Below are 20,486 nucleotides of genomic sequence, written 5' to 3'. Positions count from 1 at the left end.
CGGTCATGCAGCCTCTGGCTCCAAGAGTCTGAGCCTCCCCAGATTGCTCCTGCAGATAACATCACTATTGTAAAACCTAAGATCAGTGCTTGAGATAGTTTGCAGACCCTGCATTCGATGGATCAGCTGACACAACCCAGACTGGTAATCTGGCTCAACCATTTCTGCCATCCTCCCCAGGAACAGAAGACAGCAAGAAAACCACACTTCCACCCCCTAGGATTCCATCTCCAGCCTGACCAATCAGCACTCCCTGCTTCCCAAGCCCTTACCCGCCAAATTATCTTTAAAAACCCCGATCCCCGAATGCTCAGGGAGACTGTTTGGAGTAATAATAAAACCCAGTCTCCCACACACCAGCTCTGTGTGAATTACTCCTTCTCCACTGCAATTCCCCTGTCTTGATAAATTGGCTCCGTCCAGGCAGCGAGCAAGGTGAACCCACCGGGCAGTTACAGCTATGGGCATATAACTGCAGGTATTTTCAGAGTTAACTAGACTCTTGTGATTAGCTGGGAATCCATTCACTTGATGGGGTAACAAATCTGAGTTCCAAACCCCCGGTTTATCAATTCCCAAGCTGGCAATCAATTCCCATGCTAGCTTAGCTAAATGTATTTTCAGATTTTTTTTTTTTTGGGGACAGAGTTTTGCTCTTGTTGCCCAGGCTGGAGTGCAATGGTGCGATCTTGGCTCACTGCAACTTCTGCCTCCCAGGTTCAAGCGATTCTCCTGCCTCAGCCTCCCGAGTAGCTGGGATTTCAGGCACCCACCGCCATGCCTGGCTAATTTTGTATTTTTAGTAGAGACAGGGTTTCTCCATGTTGGTCAGGCTGGTCTCGAACTCCCGACCTCAGGTGATCCGCCTGCTTCGGCCTCCCAAAGTGCTGAGATTATAGGCGTGAGCCACCGTGCCCAGTCTATTTTCAGATTTTTTTGCATGTACTATAGTTTTATAATTTTAGTTTGCTCATGGAAATATGTTGGGTGGCTAACTACTGATGATTCATCCTCACATTATCCCCATGTGCCTGTTGGTGTATTCTGAAAGTGCTTGGGAGGAACATCCCCTAATTACATGTTTCAGAATGCATTGTTTGTGTGGCCTCATCATCATCAATAAAACTTCTCTTGATCGTCTATCTGAAGCCATTTTGAGTGGCAGACACCCCTATGGTGATTACTGCCCACAAATCCCTTGGCTTTCGAAAACAGCAGGGCTTGCATCAGCTGCAAACTAGACATAATTTTATCCATATCATCGTGATAAGGCTAATGAAGGCTGGTTTTGCTTCTTCTTCCTGCCTCATGAGTCATTTACAGATATTTCTGTCAGGCTAACCTCAACTGTCTCTCATACACAACGGCAGCTTTCCTACTGATCAATTAGTCCAGGCACATTGACACAAGCCCCTGGATTTTGCAACGTGATGGCGGTGTTTGACAACTACCATTCTGCTTTAGCTTTCCTCCAGAGTAAGTTTCCTTTGGTTGCAGATTTCAGGGTTAACAGATACTTTCAAAAAGTTTTTCACTCAGATTCAGTTTTCTTGACAATGTGATCAAGAAATGTGGTCTTAGCGGGGCGTGGTGGCTCAAGCCTGTAATCCCAGCACTTTGGGAAGCCGAAGCGGGTGGATCACCTGAGGTCAGGAGTTTGAGACTAGCCTGACCAACATGGTGAAACCCCGTCTCTACTAAGAATACAAACAAATGACCAGGCACGGTGGCTCATGCCTGTAATCCCAACACTTTGGGAGGCTGAGGTGGGCGGATCACCTGAGGTCGGGAGTTCAAGACCAGCCTGACCAACATGGTGAAACCTGTCTCTACTAAAAATACAAAATTAGCCAGCCATGGTGGCATGCGCCTGTAATCCCAGCTACTTGGGAGGCTGAGGCAGGAGAATCACTTGAACCTGGGAGGTGGAGGTTGCAGTGAGCCGAGATTGCGCCACTGTACTCCATCCTGGGCCACAGAGTGAGAAACCGTCTCAAAAAAAAAAAAAAAAAAAAATAGGCCATAGCCTGAGCTTAGCCTGCTGGCCATAGTCTACAGACCCATGCTATAATACACGAGTAACTGGTGTGAGTAACTACACACAGACAGAAAAGCACCCAGTGAACAGTGCCTTCATTTCTCGAATTTCCTGCTTTCTGTCAACATGCATCACACAGTTACATGCTCTTCCTGTGGTTGCAATCAGTTTATCTTTGCATTCTGCTGTTTTAAAATTTAACGCCCATTTCTGTGGATTGGCATAGCCCACATTCTTGTGAATCACCCACAGTGATTCCTGCAGTGTTGTCCCCAGCCTCAAGCCTCTCTGCACCGTAATTGTGCTTCTTTTCCTCAGATACCTGCCTTGCATTGGCCCTGGGTAAATGTTTCCCTTGGCTGTGAATAGGCAATTAAAATTCTGAACCTTTTATGGCTCTGGAAGCTTATCCGATGAAACAATACTCATCCAGGCGGATGGCCCACCAGCGCAAAGGTATGTGCTTTAGGATGACCTGGTGAAGGAGAATGTGATGCCTCAGCAGGGAGGGAGTGGGGGAGGAGAGGGAGCTGGGCAGCCCCCATCAAGGCCCCACCGGAGGCAAGGAATCTCTTTTGGAGTTGCCAGTCCCCCAACCTGCTCCGGAATTTTTACAATCAGATCCCCTCCTTCGTGGCTGAAAATGAAGGGCACGGTGGCTTTCTAGTTTGTGTGTGTGAGTGTGTGTTTGGGGGTAGGTGGACTTTGCTCATCACCATCATTTGGATTTTTGGCTCTGGGGATTCTGGAATTAGGGATCCCACCACCACCTGCAGGGCAGGGGTTGGGGCACGGGCTCTGGAATCTGGGTTGTGTGAGGAGTAATTGAGAGATTGCAAGGCCCGGCGCGGTGGTTCACGCCTGTAATCCCAGCACTTTGGGAGGCCGAGGCTGGTGGATCACGAGGTCAGGAAATCAAGACCATCCTGGCTAACACCGTGAAACCCCATCTCTACTAAAAATACGAAAAATTAGCCTGGCGTGGTGGCGGGCGCCTGTAGTCCCAGCTACTCGGGAGGCTGACGCAGGAGGATGGTGCAAACCCGGGAGGCAGAGCTTGCAGTGAGCCAAGATCACACCACTGCACTCCAGCCTGGGCGAGAGAGCAAGACTCCGTCTCAAAAACAAACAAACAAACAAACAAACAAAAAACCACTACTGGCTGAGGGCGGGCGCGGTGGTTCACGCCTGTAATCCCAGCCCTTGAGGGGCCAAGGCGGGTGGATCACCTGAGGTCAGGAGTTCGAGACCAGCCTGGCCAACATGGAGAAACCCTGTCTCTACTTAAAACACAAAAATTAGCCAGGCATGATGGCAGGAGCCTGTAATCCCATCTACTCGGGAGGCTGAGGCAGGAGAATTGCTCGAATCAGGGAGTTGGAGGTTGCAGTGAGCTGAGATCATGCCACTGCACTCCAGCCTGGAGACAGAGCAAGACTCCATCTCAAAAAAAAAAAAAAAAAAAAAGATTGCGAAAGCGCCTGCCAGCACCTAAGCAATCAATAAGGGTTATTGGGTTGTGGTTTCTGCCTGGGGACTTTAGAAACCGGGCAGGTGGAGGTCAAAGGCCAGCCCCGCCAGCTCCGCATGGTCTTCTCCACCTTTGGGGCCATCTCAAGTTCTAGATTCCATGAACCTTGCCCTTGAAATCGTCTGGGAATGGAATTATTGCTAATCCCAAAAAGGCTGACACATCACTCCCTGGCAGGGTTCAACCGGGTGGCAACATGGTTTGTGTGGCTGCCCCTGTTTTCCCTCAGAATTCGGATTTTAAAACTTTCAAAATATGAGATTTTTATTTTATATATATATATTTTTTATTATTATTTTTTTTTCGAGTGCGATGGCACAATCTCAGCTCACTGCAACCTCCCAGGCTGGAGTGCAGTGGCGCGATCTCGATCTCGGCTCACTGCAACCTCCGCCTCCTGGGTTCAAGCGATTCTCCTGCCTCAGCTTCCCAAATAGCTGGGACTACAGGTGCGCGCCACCACACCCAGCTAATTTTTTATTTTTAGTAGAGATGGGGTTTCACCATGTTGGACAGGCTGGTCTCGAACTCCCGACCTCAGGTGATCCACCCGCCTCGGCCTCCCAAAGTGCTGGGATTACAGGAGTCAGCCACCGCGCACGGCCGAGATTTAAAAAATTATACGGATGACACCAGATCCTCAGAGCCGGAGCTCTGGGTGCCTCAGCCCCGACAGCGCGTCCGCTCCAGGACCCTGTGGACGATGCTGCCCCCTAGTGGCCGCGGGGCACAAGGCCCACCGGACCACGTTGCTCCATGGAGGGGCTCGAACTGGAGAGCTCCGTCTCTAACCCGCCGCCTCCTTCCGTGCCCTCTGCCGACGCCCTTCCGATTCCTGCAGCCCCTCTGCAGTCCTCCACCTTTTTCTTTCTTTCCTTTTGAGACAGGGTCTCACCTTTGTCACCCAGGCTGGAGTGCAGTGGCATGATCATAGCTCACTGCAGCCTGGAACTCCTGGACTCAAGAGATCCTCCTGCCTCAGCCTCCAGAGTAGCCAGCTCTACAGGCATGCGTTACCAAACTCGGCTAATTTATTTTTATTTTTGTAGAGATGGAGTCTCACTATGTTGCCAGGCTGGTCTTGAACTCCTGGGCCCAAGCCATCTTCCTACCTCAGCCTCCCGAAGTGCTGGAATTACAGGCATGAGCCACCAAGCCCAGCCAATCCTCCGCTTCTATTTAGGTGCTGTGGATAATGTGGCCCAGCAGGGGGCTGGCTGCCATGAAACTGGCCGGGGATTTGGGGGTCTTTATATCCACATGGATGCATCTTTAGGATGAGTTCTATTCTTTGCACATTTTGCTCTAGAGCAATTTTAAAAACCAATCAGCCACAATTTTTTTTTTTTTTGAGATGGAGTTTCACTCTTGTTGTCCAGGCTGGAGTGCAGTGTCACGATCTCAGCTCACTGCAACCTCTGCCTCCCAGGTTAAGTGATTCTCCTGCCTCAGCCACCCGAGTAGCTGGGATTACAGGCACGCACCACCATACCTGGCTAATTTTTTGTATATTTAGTAGAGATGGGGTTTCACCATGTTGGCCAGGCTGGTCTCGAACTCCTGACCTCAGGTGATCCTCCCGCCTTGGCCTCCCAAAGTGCTGGGATTACCGGCGTGAGCCACCGTGCCTGGCCATCAGCCACACTTTTTGAGCAGCCAGGGCTGTGTGGCTGGTACAAAGGTCTTAAGGTTGAAAGGGGCTTGGCTCTTTTTAAAAACTGAGGGCAGGGAAGGTGGGGGTGTGTGTGGGGACTGAGCAGAATGAAGGAGCCGTGGGAAGGAGGAGCACAGGAAAGACTGGTGAGGGGCCACTATCTATCGTCAGGATTTAGGATTTTACAATAAGAGCCCTAGAAAGCTTTGAAGGATGGGGAGGGACTTTGCACTTGAGAAGAATTCCTTTGGGTTGTTGGAGAAGGGATTGTGGGGGCCCTGGAGTCTGGCTGGGAGCCAGAGAGGAGGCCCCGGGGGCTGTACAGGCAGGGATGGGGGTGTTGCCTGTGGACTTGGAGTGAAGGATTCCAGAGGCCCTTTAGAGGTAGCCTGGGTTGGCTAGAGAAGGAAGGATCGCGGATGCTCCTCAGGCTGGTGCAGCCCAGCGGGGAGGATGGAGCCAGAACTCACTGAGATAGGAACAGACTGGGGCAGGATCACTGGTTCTGTTGGACAAGTGGAGTCTGTGATGTTGAGTAGAGTCTGTGATGTTGAGTAGATGGTCTGATATAAGGGGAGGGGGCTTGAGCTCTGTTGGAGGCAGAAACCTAGAGGAAAAGAGCTTTGGAAGAGCACAGAGATTTCTGCTGGGATCCAAGGGCAGAGCTCGGCTGCTTTCCTTTTGTCCTGGCTCACCTTACCCTGACAGGGGCAGACCCCCCACCATAACAAGGAGACCAAAACCACGCAGGGGGCACAAAAGTGAGATGCTTGTGGTTTATTGAAGAGAGCAAGGCTGGTGGGCGTGGACTCAAAGCATGGCAGCGGCAGAGGCTGGAGCAGTTGGGGATCTTCAGCTTCTAAATGCTAATTACACAGTGAGCTTTGGGCTATTTTTTCCTAAAACAAATAGACAAAGAAACAGAAAAACCCAATACAACAGTGAATGAATTGCATAGTTAGGCAGAGATGACGAGCCACAGAAACTTCAACATTAACCGAGAGGTGCAGTCAACTCTAGGAGGAACTAAGGTAGTAAGGGCTTGGATTGTTTCTCAAAAGCCTCTTACAAAATAGTAAGGGGAGGCTGGGCGTGGTGGCTCACGCCTGTAATGCCAGCACTTTGGGAGGCTGAGGCGGGTGGATCACCTGAGGTCAGGAGTTCGAGACCAGCCTGGCAAACACGGTGAAACCCCATCTCTACAAAAATACAGAAATTAGCTCGGCATGATGGTGGGTGCCTGTAATCCCAGCTACTCAAGAGGCTGAGGCCGGAGAATCGCTTGAACCTGGGAGGTGGAGGTTGCAGTAAGCCAAGATCGTGCTATTGCACCCTAGTCTGGGCGACAGAGCGAGACTCTGTCTCAAAAAAAAAAAAAAAAAAAAAGGAAGAGGAGATGTCTAGAAAGATCACTGTGCTGCCTGCCTGGGGACAGTGGCACTGTGACTCTCCTCTCTGGATTAGAAACAGGTCTGAAAACTGGGGCAATCCTGCAGCCCCACTTGGGGAAGCCACTTCTAACCAGTGTGACGTGAAAGGTGCTGGTTACCATGAGCTTAATGATGCTTTCTCTGGGCTTTTGGGGGAGGGTGTCCACCAGCTTCTTCAGCTGAGCCCCTGCCTCCCTCATGTCTTGATCAGGGCTGAAAAGTTCCATGGCAGCCTCATAACTGGAGGGTGTGTCCATGAGGAGGGTTTCGATGACACGCTGAAAGCTCGGGCAGATCTCTGCAGAAGCTGCAACACAGAGGAGAGAAGGCACATGTCTCCAGGCCCCTTTCCAAGCTGGCTAGCCCTCTGGCTGGGTCTGCCCAGATGCAAACAGCCAGGCCCATCAGCGAGAGATAGCAGCCTTTTCATCGATGGACTAGAGTGTAAGATTTGTGGATTGCCCGAGTCTTCCTTAGACTTCTTGGGTTGAGGTGAGCAAGGTGCCGTTTTTCTTTCTGTTGGAGATCAAGGCAGAGTATTGATCATAGAAGCTGCTGGCCTGATTTTTTAATGCAGTGTGGAGGCTGGGAAGAGGCCACTGAGGGTTTTATTTCCCACCAGAAACTTGCCTCTCATCAGTGGTTAGAGATGCCCTGAGCCATGCTTCACTGGGGGCATGTGACAAATTCAGGCTCTGGCAGGAAAAAGCGATTGTAAGCCAGGCACGGTGGCTCACACCTGTAATCCCAGCACTTTGGGAGGCCGAGGCAGGCAGATCACGAGGTCAGGAGTTCGAGACCAGCCTGGCCAACATGGTGAAACCCCGTCTCTACTAAAAATACAAAAAATTAGCCGGGCGTGGTTCTGGGCACCCGTAATCCTAGCTACTCAGGAGGCTGAGGCAGGAGAATCACTTGAATCCAGGAAGCAGAAGTTGCAGTGAGCTGAGATCTCGTCACTGCACTCCAGCCTGGGCAACAGAGCGAGATTCTGTCTCAAAAAGCAAGCAAGCAAGCAAGCAAGCAAGCAAGCAAGAGAAAAGAAAAAGAAGAAAAGAAAAGAAAAGAAAAGAAGCCATTGAGATTGTACCAGCCAAACATGGGCCCCCGAACCTGGCCGGGAAGAGGTGTGCACATGTGCACAGCGGGCCCTGTGGCACACTCAGCTCATGGACAGAGCAGCCACTTGTACCACTTCATTCCCTTCAACACAGAGCTTCCAGACTCTGTTTTCTTCTCAGGTCCTTACAACCAGGAACATGGGGGAAAGTCACCATTTTCTACCCACTGCTTGCCTCCATCTTCCCAGTGAGTCTCAAATCCCTTTTCCTTGAATTCTCTGCCTTCTGAACAAATTTGCCTTCCCTCCTCTGACTCTAGGGCCTCACTAGAAATTGCCACTCCAAGTCAGACCCTCTCCAGAACTTAGGTCCTTGATGTGTAACTTACTGTGTCACCAGGCAAGTCACTCTGTGTTTCTGTAGCTCAGTTTTCTCATCTGTAAAATGGGAACAATATCCCTACTTCATTTTATTTTTTATTTTTTAAATTTTAATTTAATTTAAATTTTATTTTTATTTATTTATTTGTTTTCAGACGGAGTCTCGCTCTATTGCCCAGGCTGGAGTGCAGTGATGCCATCTCGGCTGACTGCAACCTCTGCCTCCCAGGTTCAAGTGATTCTCCTGCCTCGGCCTCCCAAGTAGCTGGGACTACAGGCATGCGCCACCATGCCTGGCTAATTTTTGTATTTTTAATAGAGACAAGGTTTCACCATGTTGGCCAGGTTGGTCCTGAACTCCTGACCTCAAGTGATCTACCCACCTCGGCCTCCCAAATTGCTGGGATTACAGGCGTGAGCCACCGTGCCTGGCCCAATATCCCTACTTCATAGGGTTGTTGTAAGAATAAAAAGAGAGGCCAGGCATGGTGGCTCACGCCTAATCCCAGCACTTTGGGAGGCCTAGGTGGGTGGATCACGAGGTCAAGAGATGGAGACCATCCTGGCCAACATGGTGAAACCCTGTCTCTACTAAAAATACAAAAATTAGCTGGGTGCAGTGGTGCGTGCCTGTAATCCCACCTACTTGGGAGGCTGAGGCAGGAGAATCGCTTGAACCCGGGAGGCGGAGGTTGCAGTGAGCTGAGATCGCGCCACTGCACTCCAGCCTGGCAACAGAGCGAGACTCTGTCTCAAAAAAAAAAAAAAAAAAGAATGAAAAGAGATATTATGTGAAAGGGTGACAGTGATTGGCACATTGTGTGAAGTAAGTGTTAAATATTGTATGCATGTGCACACAAATAGACAAATGCATCTCTGACCCACCCCTTAACATGTTGCAGTCCTATCTTGCTCAGCCACCCACCTCTGTACGCAGACAGCACTGAGATCTTCTAATTAATACACATTTCAGTCCAAAATGATGTCATTTTCTCTGAAAAACAAATAAACCTCTCTGCAAAATAGTTGTTCCTACTGCTTCTTGGTTTGGGTTTTCTAACTCCCCAGGGTCATAAAACTTATCTCCATGGGTGTTGTGAAGCTTTCCAAGTGAATTAATTGGAGTTTGTTTATTAAAAAATAACAACAGCATTTTCAGATGAGAATGGAAGAGGCTGACGCAGAGTGAAAAACAGAGTTAGATAACCCAGTTCCCCAAAGACGGGGGATCTTGGAGAGAGCTGTGATCCTTCTTTCCTTCCTTTCTCCCCCTCTCTCCGTCTCTCTTTCTGCCCCTCTTCCCCCCACAGTTCTTTTCCTTTTAGTGACAGCAGCAACTACTCAGAGACTCCTAATCCCTTTTGCAGAGGACGGAAATGTTTAGAAAACTTCACTCTGGGTTGGCAGTTCCCCAAAGGGAAGCTCTCTTTCTGGAATATTCCTCTGTGCCCAGAATGAGAGACCTTGTCTTGGGTTGGGTTTCTTTTGGGGTCACGAGTCCCTGCAGCTCCCCTTCCAGTGACTTCAGCTGCCAGCATGGAGTGGAGACCCCAGACTTGGAGGCTGCACCAAGGTCTCAGCATCTTGGAGTCTGTCCAGATCTGGGATGAGGGCCTCATTATTCCTATGCTGGATGTACTCATCTTTATGGGGTATTCTCCACTCCTCCCTCCAGGCTATTCCATTCCCTGGGATTCTGAGGGTTGTTGGATATAGAAGATGGGACCCTTTTTAGGCTTCCTTACAGCCTGGGGCTCTCTCCAAGTTTCCAAGATGAGCTTGCTCACCAGACCCAGTTTTCTGAGACTCAGCATGCCCAGGTCCTCCCAGCAGCTCCAGAGCAGGAATGGGCAGCTCACTCCTTCTTCTGAGCAGAACTGGGGGGTCCTGAGAGTTCCTAAGTCCAGGAGGGAGGGAAGGGTCTCTGAGCACTCACCGGAGCTGCAGCAGAGAGCCAGTGTGACCAGGGTGAGGGTGACAGCGAGTTTCATGGTGGAGGAGGGGGATGCTCTGGCCCGTCTCTGGTTCCGTCTCTGAGTCTGGTGGGCTAGTATGAGACATGCCCAGCAAGGTGCCTTTTATATGCTCTAGGCAGCAGCACCCAGATGGGGAAGGGCAGGGCAAGGGCTCTACATAAGATACTGCACTATTTACTTGGCATTGGCTTGGTGGGATAGGTAAATATTCCCTTTTCTCAACCCAGTTTCTGTCCCCACTGAAACTGAGCTCACACAATGGGCCACTTGGGGGTGGAGGGCCGAGCCCTGCCTGGAGGCAGTGAAGGGAACCCAAGTCAGAGGATGTGGAAACCCAGCTGCCTGTGTCACTCACTGAACCTGGGCACTGGGGCAGTCCAGATCAAGAGAAGCAATTGTGGAGCCCACCTGGAGAAACTGAGGCCCAAGTTCCCTCACAAGTGGCAGGGACAGGACTAGGACTAGGACTCAGGACCCTGACACTCCACTGGGCTCTTTCATAGGCTCCCCTCTGAGGAGGGCGACTGAACCTTAAGCCAGGAAAGACACATGGTTTGGAGCATTGCTGTGGTCAGACTTCGGGGGCCCCTGGATTGAAGCATGTTGAATAAAAGGGACCCTTCCAGAATTCCCATCAGAAACCTGAGCCCTGCCCCAGGCTGGGTCTGTTCCCACCCAGAAGTGCTCTCAAGTCCTGTGCTCCTGATGGCCCAATTGGTGGGACCTTCAGTCCTTATCTCACTTGACCTCCCAATGGCCTTGACACCTGTGACTGCTTCCTTCTCGAACCATTCTCTCTCTTGCGCTCCCACGCCTCAGTTCTTTCCTGTTTTCCTTCTTCTGGCCATTCCTTCTTGTTCTCTTTAGATGTTTATTCTTTACTGTTCTTAAGTGTTGATGGTTCCCAGGCTTTGGCCTTCTCCCCTTTCTTGCCTCCAGTTGCCATTTCCTGGTTCTTCTCCAAAGCCCGGGCCTCATAGCACCTAACCTGGCCTGGTCAAAATCCCCTGACTCGACCTCCCTGCCTCCCTGCTAGCTCTCCTCAGCCATCCTCTGAAAGGCCATCAGAATGATCTTCCTAAAACCCACTGGTCGTGTCCTTCTTCTTGAAACCCTTAAACTCTTCCTTTTGCCTAAAGAATAAAATTCAAGTGCAATTTACAAGGCCCTTGCCCACTGACCTTTGCCTACCATTTGAACTTCATTTCTCCTCTCCCCCACACAACGACTTAGCCCTCTCTTACTATTTGTGGATTCGAGAATGTTCCATGTTTTTTCATGCCTTTCTACCTATGCACAAGCTAAGCCTCATGCCTGAATACACATTTCCTGCCTTGTCCACTTCGCCAAATTCTATTCGTACTTCAAGACTCAATCAAATATTGATCCATTCATTCATCCAATAAATGCTGACCACCTATGATGTGCCAGATGTGGTGCTAGGAGTCGGGAACTGGGGTAGATAGACATGGAGAGGCATTGCGTGGCACTTCAAGAACTCCTCAAAAATAAATAAATAAATAAAAATAAATAAACAAATAAAAGGCCAGACAGGGTGGCTCATGCCTGTAATCCCAGGACTTTGGGAGGCTGAGGCAGGTGGATCACCTAAGGTCAGGAGTTTGAGACCAGCCTGGCTGACATGATGAAACCCCGTCTCTACTAAAAATACAAAAATTAGCTGGATGTGGTGGTGGGCACCTGTAATCCCAGCTACTTGGGAGGCTGAGGCAGGAGAATTGCTTGAATCTGGGAGTCATAGATTGCGGTGAGCTGAGATCACGCCATTGCACTCCAGCCTGGGCAACAAGAGCAAAACTCCGTCTCAGAAAAAAAAAAAAAAAAGAAGGACCCCATTGTGCCTGAGGGCTTCGAAAGGGTTGCTGTGCCTGCAAAGGGGGCATTCAGGGGCCAGAGCACACAAGGCCTCGTTCTAAGGCCTTTACACTCAGAGTGGGAAGCTCTTGAAGGTTTTAATCAGGGAGTGACATGGTCTGATATCCCTTTCCTGATGAACTGACCCTGACTTGGGCAGCTGGGGGAATGGGGTGTTATTTCCTGACACAGAGAAGACTTGGGAAAAATAGGGTTGGGGGTGAAAATAGGGAGTGAAGCCTTCCCCGACAGGTGGTTCTGATGGGTGGTGACTCTCCCCATGGGCCTCTCTTCCCCCTCTGCTTACAGGGCCCATTATACAATATTTTAACTTTGCAATTCTTATTTTCTTGTATGACTCCTTTACTTGACTGACCTCCTTTAGGGCTGAGGCCGCTGTAAGCCAAGGTACGCAACGCTTGCTAAACAGGAATCCCTGGAATGAATCCATGCATGAGGCCTTTGTGCCATGTGACAGTTGAAGGCTGTGGTGACCCCGGAACCGTCCCACTCCGAGACGCCTTAACACCGGTAAGAGCACACGTTCTAAACTAGCAACCAACAAAGACTTGTCAAGTACGTTATGGTGTGTCCTTACAATGAAACGCTGTGTGGCTGAAAACAGAGAAAGAAGATCTTCTGAGCTGATGGTGAAATGATCTCCAAGGCAGACTGCAAAGGGGGAAAAACAAGGCATGAATAGAGCAAAAAAGAACAAAGAGAAGGCTGGGCGCGGTGGCTCACGCCTGTAATCCCAGCACTTTGGGAGGCTGAGGCGGGTGGATCACAAGGTCAGATTGAGACCATCCTGGCCAACATAGTGAAACCCCGTCTCTACTAAAAAAATACAAAAAGCTGGGTATGGTGGCGCTTGCCTGTAATCCCAGCTACTCGGGAGGCTGAGGCACGAGAATCACTTGAGCCCAGGAGGCAGAGGTTGCAGTGAGCCGAGATCATGCCACTGCACCTCCAGCCTGGTGACAGAGCATGACTCCGTCTCAAAAAAAAGCAAAAAGAATCCACATATGCATTTGCTTGTATTTGCATAAAGCATCTCAGAAGTGCCTTCTTTCTTTTAAGTTTCCTTCTGTGTCCCATCATCTGGGCTCTTGAGGTTAGCCCATCTTGAGGATTTCAGGTGTCTGCATCCCTCCCCTCTTAGGGACTGTTGAAAGGTGTAGCCTGCCTGTAACCCCAGCACTTTGGGAGGCTGAGGAGGGCAGATCAACTGAGGTCGTCGAGAGTTTGAGACCAGCCTGGCCAACATGGTGAAACCCCCTCTCTACTAAAAATACAAAAATTAGCCGGGCGTGGTGGCAGGTGCTTGTAATCCCAGCTACTTGGGAGGCTGAGGCAGGAGAATCACTTGAGCCCAGGAGGTGGAGGTTGCAGTGAGCCGAGATCACACCATTGCACTCCAGCCTGGACAACAAGAGCGAAACTCCATCTCAAAAATAAATAAATAAATAAACAAACAAACAAACAAAAGAAAGCTGTGGCCAATGGAGCTGAAATGGGCAAGGAAGATGAGCTGGACCACTGGGGGCACCTAAAGCCCATCCAGTGCCGCCACTAGTGGATCCCTCTGTGGGCAGTGGCTGGTCTGGCCGGGGCAGCTGTGATGGCTGCAGGGGTCTTAGGCAGGAGTCACATCACCCATAGCCTCAGACTCTGCTCTCTACTTTCCACCTTCATGGTGCGAGGTCCTGGGGACAGGATAGCTGGCTCCTGGGTCTTTGAGGAACTTAACAGCTAGGAGGAGAGACAGAGATGGGTGCAACTGATGGGAATGCTCTGTGGGGAGATGGAGGAAGTCAGAGAAGGAAATGGTGCTCCGGGAGTTGAAAGGGGGCTGCCCCCAGGCTGGGCGTGGTGGCTCATGCCTGTAATCCCAGCACTTTGGGAGGCCAAGGCAGGCGGATCACCTGAGGTTGGGAGTTCGAGACCAGCCTGAACAACATGGAGAAACCCTGTCTGTACTAAAAATACAAAATTGGCTGGGCTTGTGGTGGTGCTTGCCTGTAATCCCAGCTACTTGGGAGGCTGAGGCAGAAGAATCGCTTGAACCTGGGAGGCAGAGGTTGCGGTGAGCCGAGATCGCGTCACTGCACTCCAGCCTGGGCAACAAGAGCGAAACTCCGTCTCAAAAAAAAAGGAAAAAAAAAAAAAAAAAAAGAAAGGGGGCTGCCCCAAGAAAGGTAGCTGGGCAGAGGGGAGAGGGCACGTGGAGGGCTGGCATTTGAGCTGGCCTCTGGTGGATGGGTGATGCTGGTGGTTGGGGTGAAGCGGGGGATGTGCCAGGAGGAGGAAGCCACATGAAGGGGGCCCAGGCTCAGGAGGGGACCTGGCCATGGTCCGACATGCATGGGACAGATAAGCACACAGGTACAGTGGGAGTCTGGGGGCACCGGGGGCACTGGCCTTTCAGGTGCGAGGTTGGAGGTTTGCTCTGATTCTGGAAGGTACCTCGACTGCCACCACCAAGTGTCCCAGATAGGCTCTGCCATCTGGCCCTTGGGAGATCCTGCTTGGTGGCGGTGGGTGTTTCTCTCCCCTGCCTCAGGACCCTGCAAAGCCCCTGCTCTTCTGACCCTCTGCTTGAGATAGTGAGGCAAAAAGTGTGTTAGTCAAGGCTTGGAACTCAGAGCTTTTTTTTTTTTTTTTCTGGAAACGGAGTTTCGCTTTTGTTGCGTAGGCTGGAGTGCAATGGCACGATCTCAGCGGCTCACTGCAACCTCCACCTCCCGAGTTCAGACGATTCTCCTGCCTCAGCCTCCCAAATAGCTGGTATTATAGGCGTGCGTCACCACGCCCTGTTAATTTTCGTATTATTAATAAAGATGGGATTTCACCATGTTGGCCAGGCTGGTCTCCAAATTCTGACCTCAGGTGATTCTCCCGCCTTGGCCTCCGCAAGTGCTGGGATTATAGGCGTGAGTCACCATGCCTGGCCAGAACTCAGAACTTCTTAAACTCTAACACCTGCTCCTCAAATCCTTAAACTCTATACACTGTGAGTTCCAGGCCAGAACCCTCAAGCCTGACTTAGCATGTGGAGAGGACTGGGACCTGCTGTTTCTGGCCACATGTGGTCAGTTACCTACCTGGTCACCGTGCAAAGACAAACTGTTCCGAGGGAAGATAAGCCATGTGGCTATTAGTACCATGAGGATGGCAGTGAATCGGAACAGCTCCTGCCAAATCCTGCACCCCAAACCCTGTGTTGGCTGTGCCTAGATCTGGGGGAGCCCTGGTCCTTGGGTGGCTGAACCTTCCAGCTGGGGCAGTGGCTGGGGAGCCTGCTCTGAGCTCACCCCTTGCCCAGGCTCCAGCTGGGATGACGTGAGCACCTTTGGCCTGGCTCTGGCCTTTGAGAATGGAGCAGGAGAAAGAGCCTCTCCAGAGCCAGAAGCGGGAGGGTACTAAGGGGCCTGGAAGCCTCTCCTGGGTATTTGGACTACAAGGCCCTGGATCTGCTGGCCCCTCCTCCATGTATGGGATATGGTGGGTGCACATGTGGGTGCCAGGTTGTTGAGCCATGTTCAGTGCTCCTTGGGGAGCCCTGCCTATGTCCCCAGCTAGAGGTCTGGTGGCAATGGCAGGTGGGAGGGGTTGGGCCAGCAGCAGCCCCAGCCCATACTGCCAGAAGGCATTGGCTGAGGCCAGGTGCTTGCCCCCAGGTTCAGTGCTTGGTGTATTGTAATGAGCAGGAAGCTGGGGTGCAGTGTGCTGGCAGCTGGCTGGCTGCAAGTCCCAGCGTGGCCCAGACAACAGGTTGGCGGCCTGTTCCGAGCCTATCCATCCGGCTGGGCTGCTGGGGGAGGACTAGTCGGGCCATGGGCTTGGGTCAGCTCCCGGGGCAAGCCGTAGAGGTCAGCTTCCTCCCTCCACCCTGAGTATCCAGCTCTTCTAGTGCTCAGGAAATAACTCTTGAGCAGAGTAGGTTTTTCCTTAGGGGTTTGGTTCATTCTCTTCTGCCTTGGCAGCTCCTGGGGCTGACGCCTGCATTGATTGACCCAGGGACCTCCTAGGAGGAGCCTGGCAACCTCTGGACATTCCAGCCTTTCTGTCCACCAGCCACAATGCCTAGGGCCTGTGAGCCTTTAGATGGCCTCAAAAATGGTCATGTATCTGCTGGCTGCAAAACACAAAAAGAAAATCTCAAAATTGTAATTAATGGATATTGATAACAATTTCAACGAGTAAACTGCATTTTAGTTCAACTATTATGTAGTTGTATGCAAATGTAATAAAGTTTAAATTATATGTACCAAATGCATAATCCGTTTTTAGGGTCAAAATTATTATTATTATTATTTTTTGAGACAGAGTCTCGCTCTGTCACCCAGGCTGGAGTGCAGTGGCATGATGGCATGATCTCGGCTCACTGCAACCTCTGCCTCCCAGGTTCAAGCGATTCTCGTGCCTCAGCCCCCTGAGTAGCTGGGACTACAGGCATGCACCACCACACCTGGCTAATTTTTTGTATGTTTAGTAGAGATGGGGTTTCGCCATGTTGGCTAGGTTGGTCTTGAACTCCTGACCTCAAGTGACCCGCCCGCCTCGGCCTTCCAAAGTGCTGGGATTACAGGTGTGAGCCACCGTGCCCGGCCTATTATTATTTTCTGAGACAGGATCTTGTTCTGTCACCTAGGCTGGAGTGCAGTGGTGTGATCACGGCTCACTGTAGCCTCAAACTTCTGGGCTCAAGGGAACCTCCTGCCTCAATCTCTTGGGTAGCTGGGACTGCAGTTGTGTGCCACCACATCCGGCTAATTTTCTTTTTCTTTTCTTTTTTTTTTTTTTTTTTTGAGATGGAGTTTCACTCTTGTCATCCAGGTTGGAGTGCAGTGGTATGATCTCGGCTCACTTGTAACCTCCGCCTCCCAGGTTCAAGTGATTCTCCTGCCTCACCCTCCCAAGTAGCTGAGACTACAGGCAGGCGCCACCATGCTTGGCTAATTTTTTGTATTTTTAGTAGAGACGGGGTTTCACCATGTTGGCCAGGCTGGTCTTGAACTCCTGACCTCAGGTGATCAGCCCATCTTAGCCTCCCAAAGTGCTGGGATTATAGGCATGAGCCACCGTGCCTGGACACCTTTGATTTTTTCATGCTGTGGGATATCCCTTTTCATGGATGTAATGTCATCTTTGCAGGGATATAATGTAATTTAATTTTCCAGTGCCTTATTGATGGACGTTTGCACTTTTTTTTTTTTCCAGTTTTTCTGCTGTTACAAACCACAGAGCAACGCGTGTGCCTCCTCCCGCCCTGGGGACTCTTTCTGTGGGAGAGGTGCCTGGATTTAGAGGAGCGACCACTCTTCATTTGTAGGTACTCTCCCTAGCCTGGGAGCCCTTCAGCTCCCACTCCAGAGTGGTTGTTGGTGGTAATACGCCAGGCCTGGGGAAGCAGGAGTGGGAAGGTGTGAGAGGTGGGGGAGTGTGGTTGTCAACTGTTCTGATTTTCCACCAGGATCTTGGTCACTTTCCCAGTTGTCACTCGGCCCACAAACTAGGATGTGAGCAGCATATTAAGAATCTGCAGAGATGTTCCCGTCTGCCCGGCATATGGATGTCCTTCTGGGCTGCAAAGTGGCATCCTGTGGGCAACTCCCCCCACAACAACCAGCTGTGAGCTGTGCCCAGGCACAGAGGGACCTGGCTTTCCCTGTTTCTGCAGATGGAGCCCAGGGTTTCAGGGAGGGAGGGGGCAGGCTGGGACCTGTTGGGGATCTGGGCACTTTCTCATGCTCCTTGAGCTGCAAGTCATAGAAGGAGTGGGGTGGGAGCTGGGAATGTACCTTCCCAAGGCCACTGGCAGAACCAGCAGGCCCTTTGCTCTGGGATGAGCTCCCTCTGAGGGGTGGGGACAGTAAAGCGGACCGAAGTCCCTGTTCTGCGGGATGGAAACTGGCTCCCCTCCATTGTACAGGCCAGCTCTGGGGATTTGGGCAGCAGATTTGGGGTTGACAGCAGAATGACATGATCACCAGTTGACCTTGGCCAGGATGCCAGCTTACTTTCTCGCTTACTTCTGCAGGTTCTTTGTTCTGCGGGTGAGTCACCCAGGTCCTGCCCTCCGTGCCTGTCTGCCCTCTCCCACTTTCCCTGCCCTGAGCTTGTTCCCACTTGTAGATTTGGCAGGTCACTGCCAAGGCCCCTATTCCCCCAACATGGCCAGTGCCCTAAGGGTGGGTTGTACAGGGAGGAGCTGGCGTGGTCAGTAGACTTGAATCAGGGACAACTCGGCTGCTGAAGGCTGAGGGGGCCTTGCAGGGCTGCAGGTGCCTTGTGCACACAGGGAGTGGGTAGAGAAGGCAACCAGGGGCTCCTTCAGGCCTTAATGCTCTGCAGCCCAGTGAGGCTGTGCCCAGAGAGTCTGGCGAGGCCCTGGTCTGCTCCCCCAGCCAATGGCCTGATGCTGTTCCATCTGGGCACCCTGTCACTTTTCGTTCATCAGGGAGTACAGGGTGATTCAGGGTCTCAAATGCAGGTGTTCACAAAATGAAATAGAACTTCCCTCTATCCCCGTGCTTCTTTTTATTTTTATAACAAATATACATCGTTATATTTTATTTTTATATTTATGTATTTTATATATATGTGACATCTACTACATGACAGAAAATATTTATGGCCAGGCAAGGTGGCTTACACCTGTAATGCCAGCACTTTGGGAGGCTGAGGCAGGCGGATCACCTGAGGTCGAGAGTTGGAGACCAGTGTGACCAACATGGAGAAACCCCATCTCTACTAAAAATACAAAATCAGCTGGGGGTGGTGGCGCATGCCTGTAATCCCAGCTACTCGGGAAGCTGAGGCAGGAGAATCGCTTGAACCGGGGAGGCGGAGGTTGTGGTGAGCCGAGATTGCACCATTGCACTCCAGCCTGGCAACAAGGGATAAACCCCGTCTCAAAAAAAAAAAAAGAAAAAAAAAAAGAAAAAAATATTTATAATGTAACTAATATAGCTAAAATAAAATGTAATTTCAGTCTCAAGCCTTCATTCTGTTAAGGGGACAGAAACTTAATCTTGGTCATCTTGGGGTCTCCCTCCCTGGGGCTGTGCCTGACTTCCAGGGGGCTCGGCGTTGGCAGGATTTCTGGTGCTTGAGGTCACCTGTCAGCCTGTCTCTTGTCATTGGCTATCCGCCGTGCCATCTGCTCCTGTGTGTCCTTGGCACTGTTCGCATGTCTCCAGCTCGCTGGCTTTCTCTGCCACCTTGGAGCCACTCCTGGGTGCACAGGAGTCTTACTGCTCCCACGCTGTGCTGGGGCCTGGGAAGACTGCTGTGGCCTACCTGCCTCCGTGTAGCACACACACCCATTTCTTCTTCTTCTTCTCCTTCTCCTTCTTCAGACAGAGACTCACTCTGTCACCTAGGCTGGACTGCAGTGGTGCCAAATTGGCTCACTGCAACCTCCGCCTCCCGGGTTCAAGCGATTCTCCTGCCTCAGTCTCCCGAGTAGCTGGGATTACAGGCACACGCCACCATGCCTGGCTAATTTTTGTATTTTTAGTAGAGATGGGGTTTCACCATGTTGGCCAGGCTGGTCTCGAACTCCTGACCTCAAGTGATCCACCTGCCTCAGCCTCCCAAATTGTTGGGATTACAGGCGTGAGCTGCCATACCCAGCCTGTTCTTGGAGGGCTCTTCTCTCTGTTCTCAGACTCTTCAAACCCACTCAGGAGCTCTGCCACCTCACTAAGGCTTGGTCTCTCTGGTAGCTTACCTGGAGAATTGGACACCTGGGGAGGATCATTTTTTAATGATCCTCCTGAGTAGCTGGGACCACAGGCAAGTGCCACCATGCCCTGCTATTTAAAAAAAATTTTTCAGCCTGACCAACATAGTGAAACCCTATCTCTACTAAAAATACAAAACTTAGCCGGGTGTGGTGGCGGGTGCCTGTGATCCCAGCTACTCAGGAGGCTGAGGCAGGAGAATGGCGTGAACCCGGGAGGCGGAGCTTGCAGTGAGCTGAGATCGCGCCACTGCACTCCAGCCTGGGCGACAGAGCGAGACTCTGTCTCGAAAAAAAAATTTTTTTTTTGTGGAGATGGGGGTCCCACTATGTTGCCCAGGTTGGTTTTGAACTCCTGAACTCCAGCAATCCTCCTGCTTTGGCCTCCCAAGGTGCTGGGATTACAGTCATGAGCACTGTGCCTGGCTGATTTATCCAATAGTTTTTATATTTACCTAACCAGATTTTGATATTTTGGTTATCATCTGATATAGTAATATTTTATGTAAATTATTGAGTAACGCCAGGTGTGGTGACTCACTCCTGTAATCCCAGCAATTTGGGAAGCCGAGGCGGGTGGATCACCTGATGTCAGGAGTTCAAGACCAGCCTGACCAACATGGAGAAACCCTGTCTCTACTAAAAATACAAAATTAGCCGGACATGGTGGCGCATGTCTGTAGTCCCAGCTACTTGGGAGGCTGAGGCAGGAGAATCGCTTGAACCCAGGAGGTGGAGGTTGTGGTGAGCTGAGATCATGCCATTGCACTCCAGCCTGGGCAACAACAGGG

General features: G+C 51.0%; 1 protein-coding gene and 1 long non-coding RNA gene across 6 annotated transcripts, besides 4 other annotated features; one reads left to right on the top strand and one right to left on the bottom strand.

Moving 5' to 3' along the window:
* The first annotated feature begins 1,356 nt into the window (after positions 1 to 1,356).
* LOC102723765 (uncharacterized) lies at positions 1,357 to 19,085 on the top strand. 5 transcript variants are annotated; one of them, XR_001748247.2, is made up of 4 exons: positions 1,357 to 1,476; positions 2,357 to 2,494; positions 12,331 to 12,476; positions 17,169 to 18,004. It is a non-coding gene; the product is annotated as an uncharacterized LOC102723765 (long non-coding RNA). The 5 variants fall into 5 exon arrangements; XR_007062699.1 differs by lacking the exon at positions 1,357 to 1,476 and adding an exon at positions 18,573 to 19,085 and having other exon boundaries at positions 2,258 to 2,494; XR_001748250.2 differs by lacking the exon at positions 1,357 to 1,476 and having other exon boundaries at positions 2,258 to 2,494; positions 17,169 to 17,276; positions 17,422 to 18,004.
* Positions 2,473 to 3,020: an enhancer, noted in NCBI's record as "H3K27ac-H3K4me1 hESC enhancer chr11:62193633-62194180 (GRCh37/hg19 assembly coordinates)". NCBI's record gives its function as "activates a minimal SCP1, AML or CMV promoter by ChIP-STARR-seq in naive H9 embryonic stem cells {active_cell/tissue: H9 hESC(naive)}" and the evidence as "EXISTENCE:reporter gene assay evidence [ECO:0000049][PMID:30033119]".
* Positions 4,370 to 4,439: an enhancer, noted in NCBI's record as "active region_4816". NCBI's record gives its function as "activates an Ori minimal core promoter by ATAC-STARR-seq in GM12878 lymphoblastoid cells {active_cell/tissue: GM12878}" and the evidence as "EXISTENCE:reporter gene assay evidence [ECO:0000049][PMID:35858748]".
* Positions 4,480 to 4,569: an enhancer, noted in NCBI's record as "active region_4815". NCBI's record gives its function as "activates an Ori minimal core promoter by ATAC-STARR-seq in GM12878 lymphoblastoid cells {active_cell/tissue: GM12878}" and the evidence as "EXISTENCE:reporter gene assay evidence [ECO:0000049][PMID:35858748]".
* On the bottom strand, positions 5,986 to 10,148 carry SCGB1A1 (secretoglobin family 1A member 1). Its single transcript, NM_003357.5, has 3 exons — positions 10,031 to 10,148; positions 6,773 to 6,960; positions 5,986 to 6,122 (listed from the first exon to the last, which is right to left on the bottom strand). Exons 1-3 carry the CDS (start codon positions 10,083 to 10,085, stop codon positions 6,090 to 6,092), a joined length of 276 nt encoding a protein of 91 aa, NP_003348.1. The 5' UTR covers positions 10,086 to 10,148; the 3' UTR covers positions 5,986 to 6,089.
* Positions 10,830 to 11,124: a silencer, noted in NCBI's record as "tiled region #15173; HepG2 Repressive non-DNase unmatched - State 21:Repr". NCBI's record gives its function as "represses a minimal TATA promoter and a strong SV40 promoter by Sharpr-MPRA in HepG2 cells {active_cell/tissue: HepG2}" and the evidence as "EXISTENCE:reporter gene assay evidence [ECO:0000049][PMID:27701403]".
* Positions 19,086 to 20,486: the final 1,401 nt, after the last annotated feature.

The sequence above is a fragment of the Homo sapiens genome, chromosome 11 (genome assembly GCF_000001405.40).
Source record: "Homo sapiens chromosome 11, GRCh38.p14 Primary Assembly".
Taxonomy (NCBI): Eukaryota; Metazoa; Chordata; class Mammalia; order Primates; family Hominidae; genus Homo; species Homo sapiens.
The sequence above is the reverse complement of the archived record's forward strand: the minus strand, read 5'-3'. Positions and strand labels throughout refer to the sequence as shown.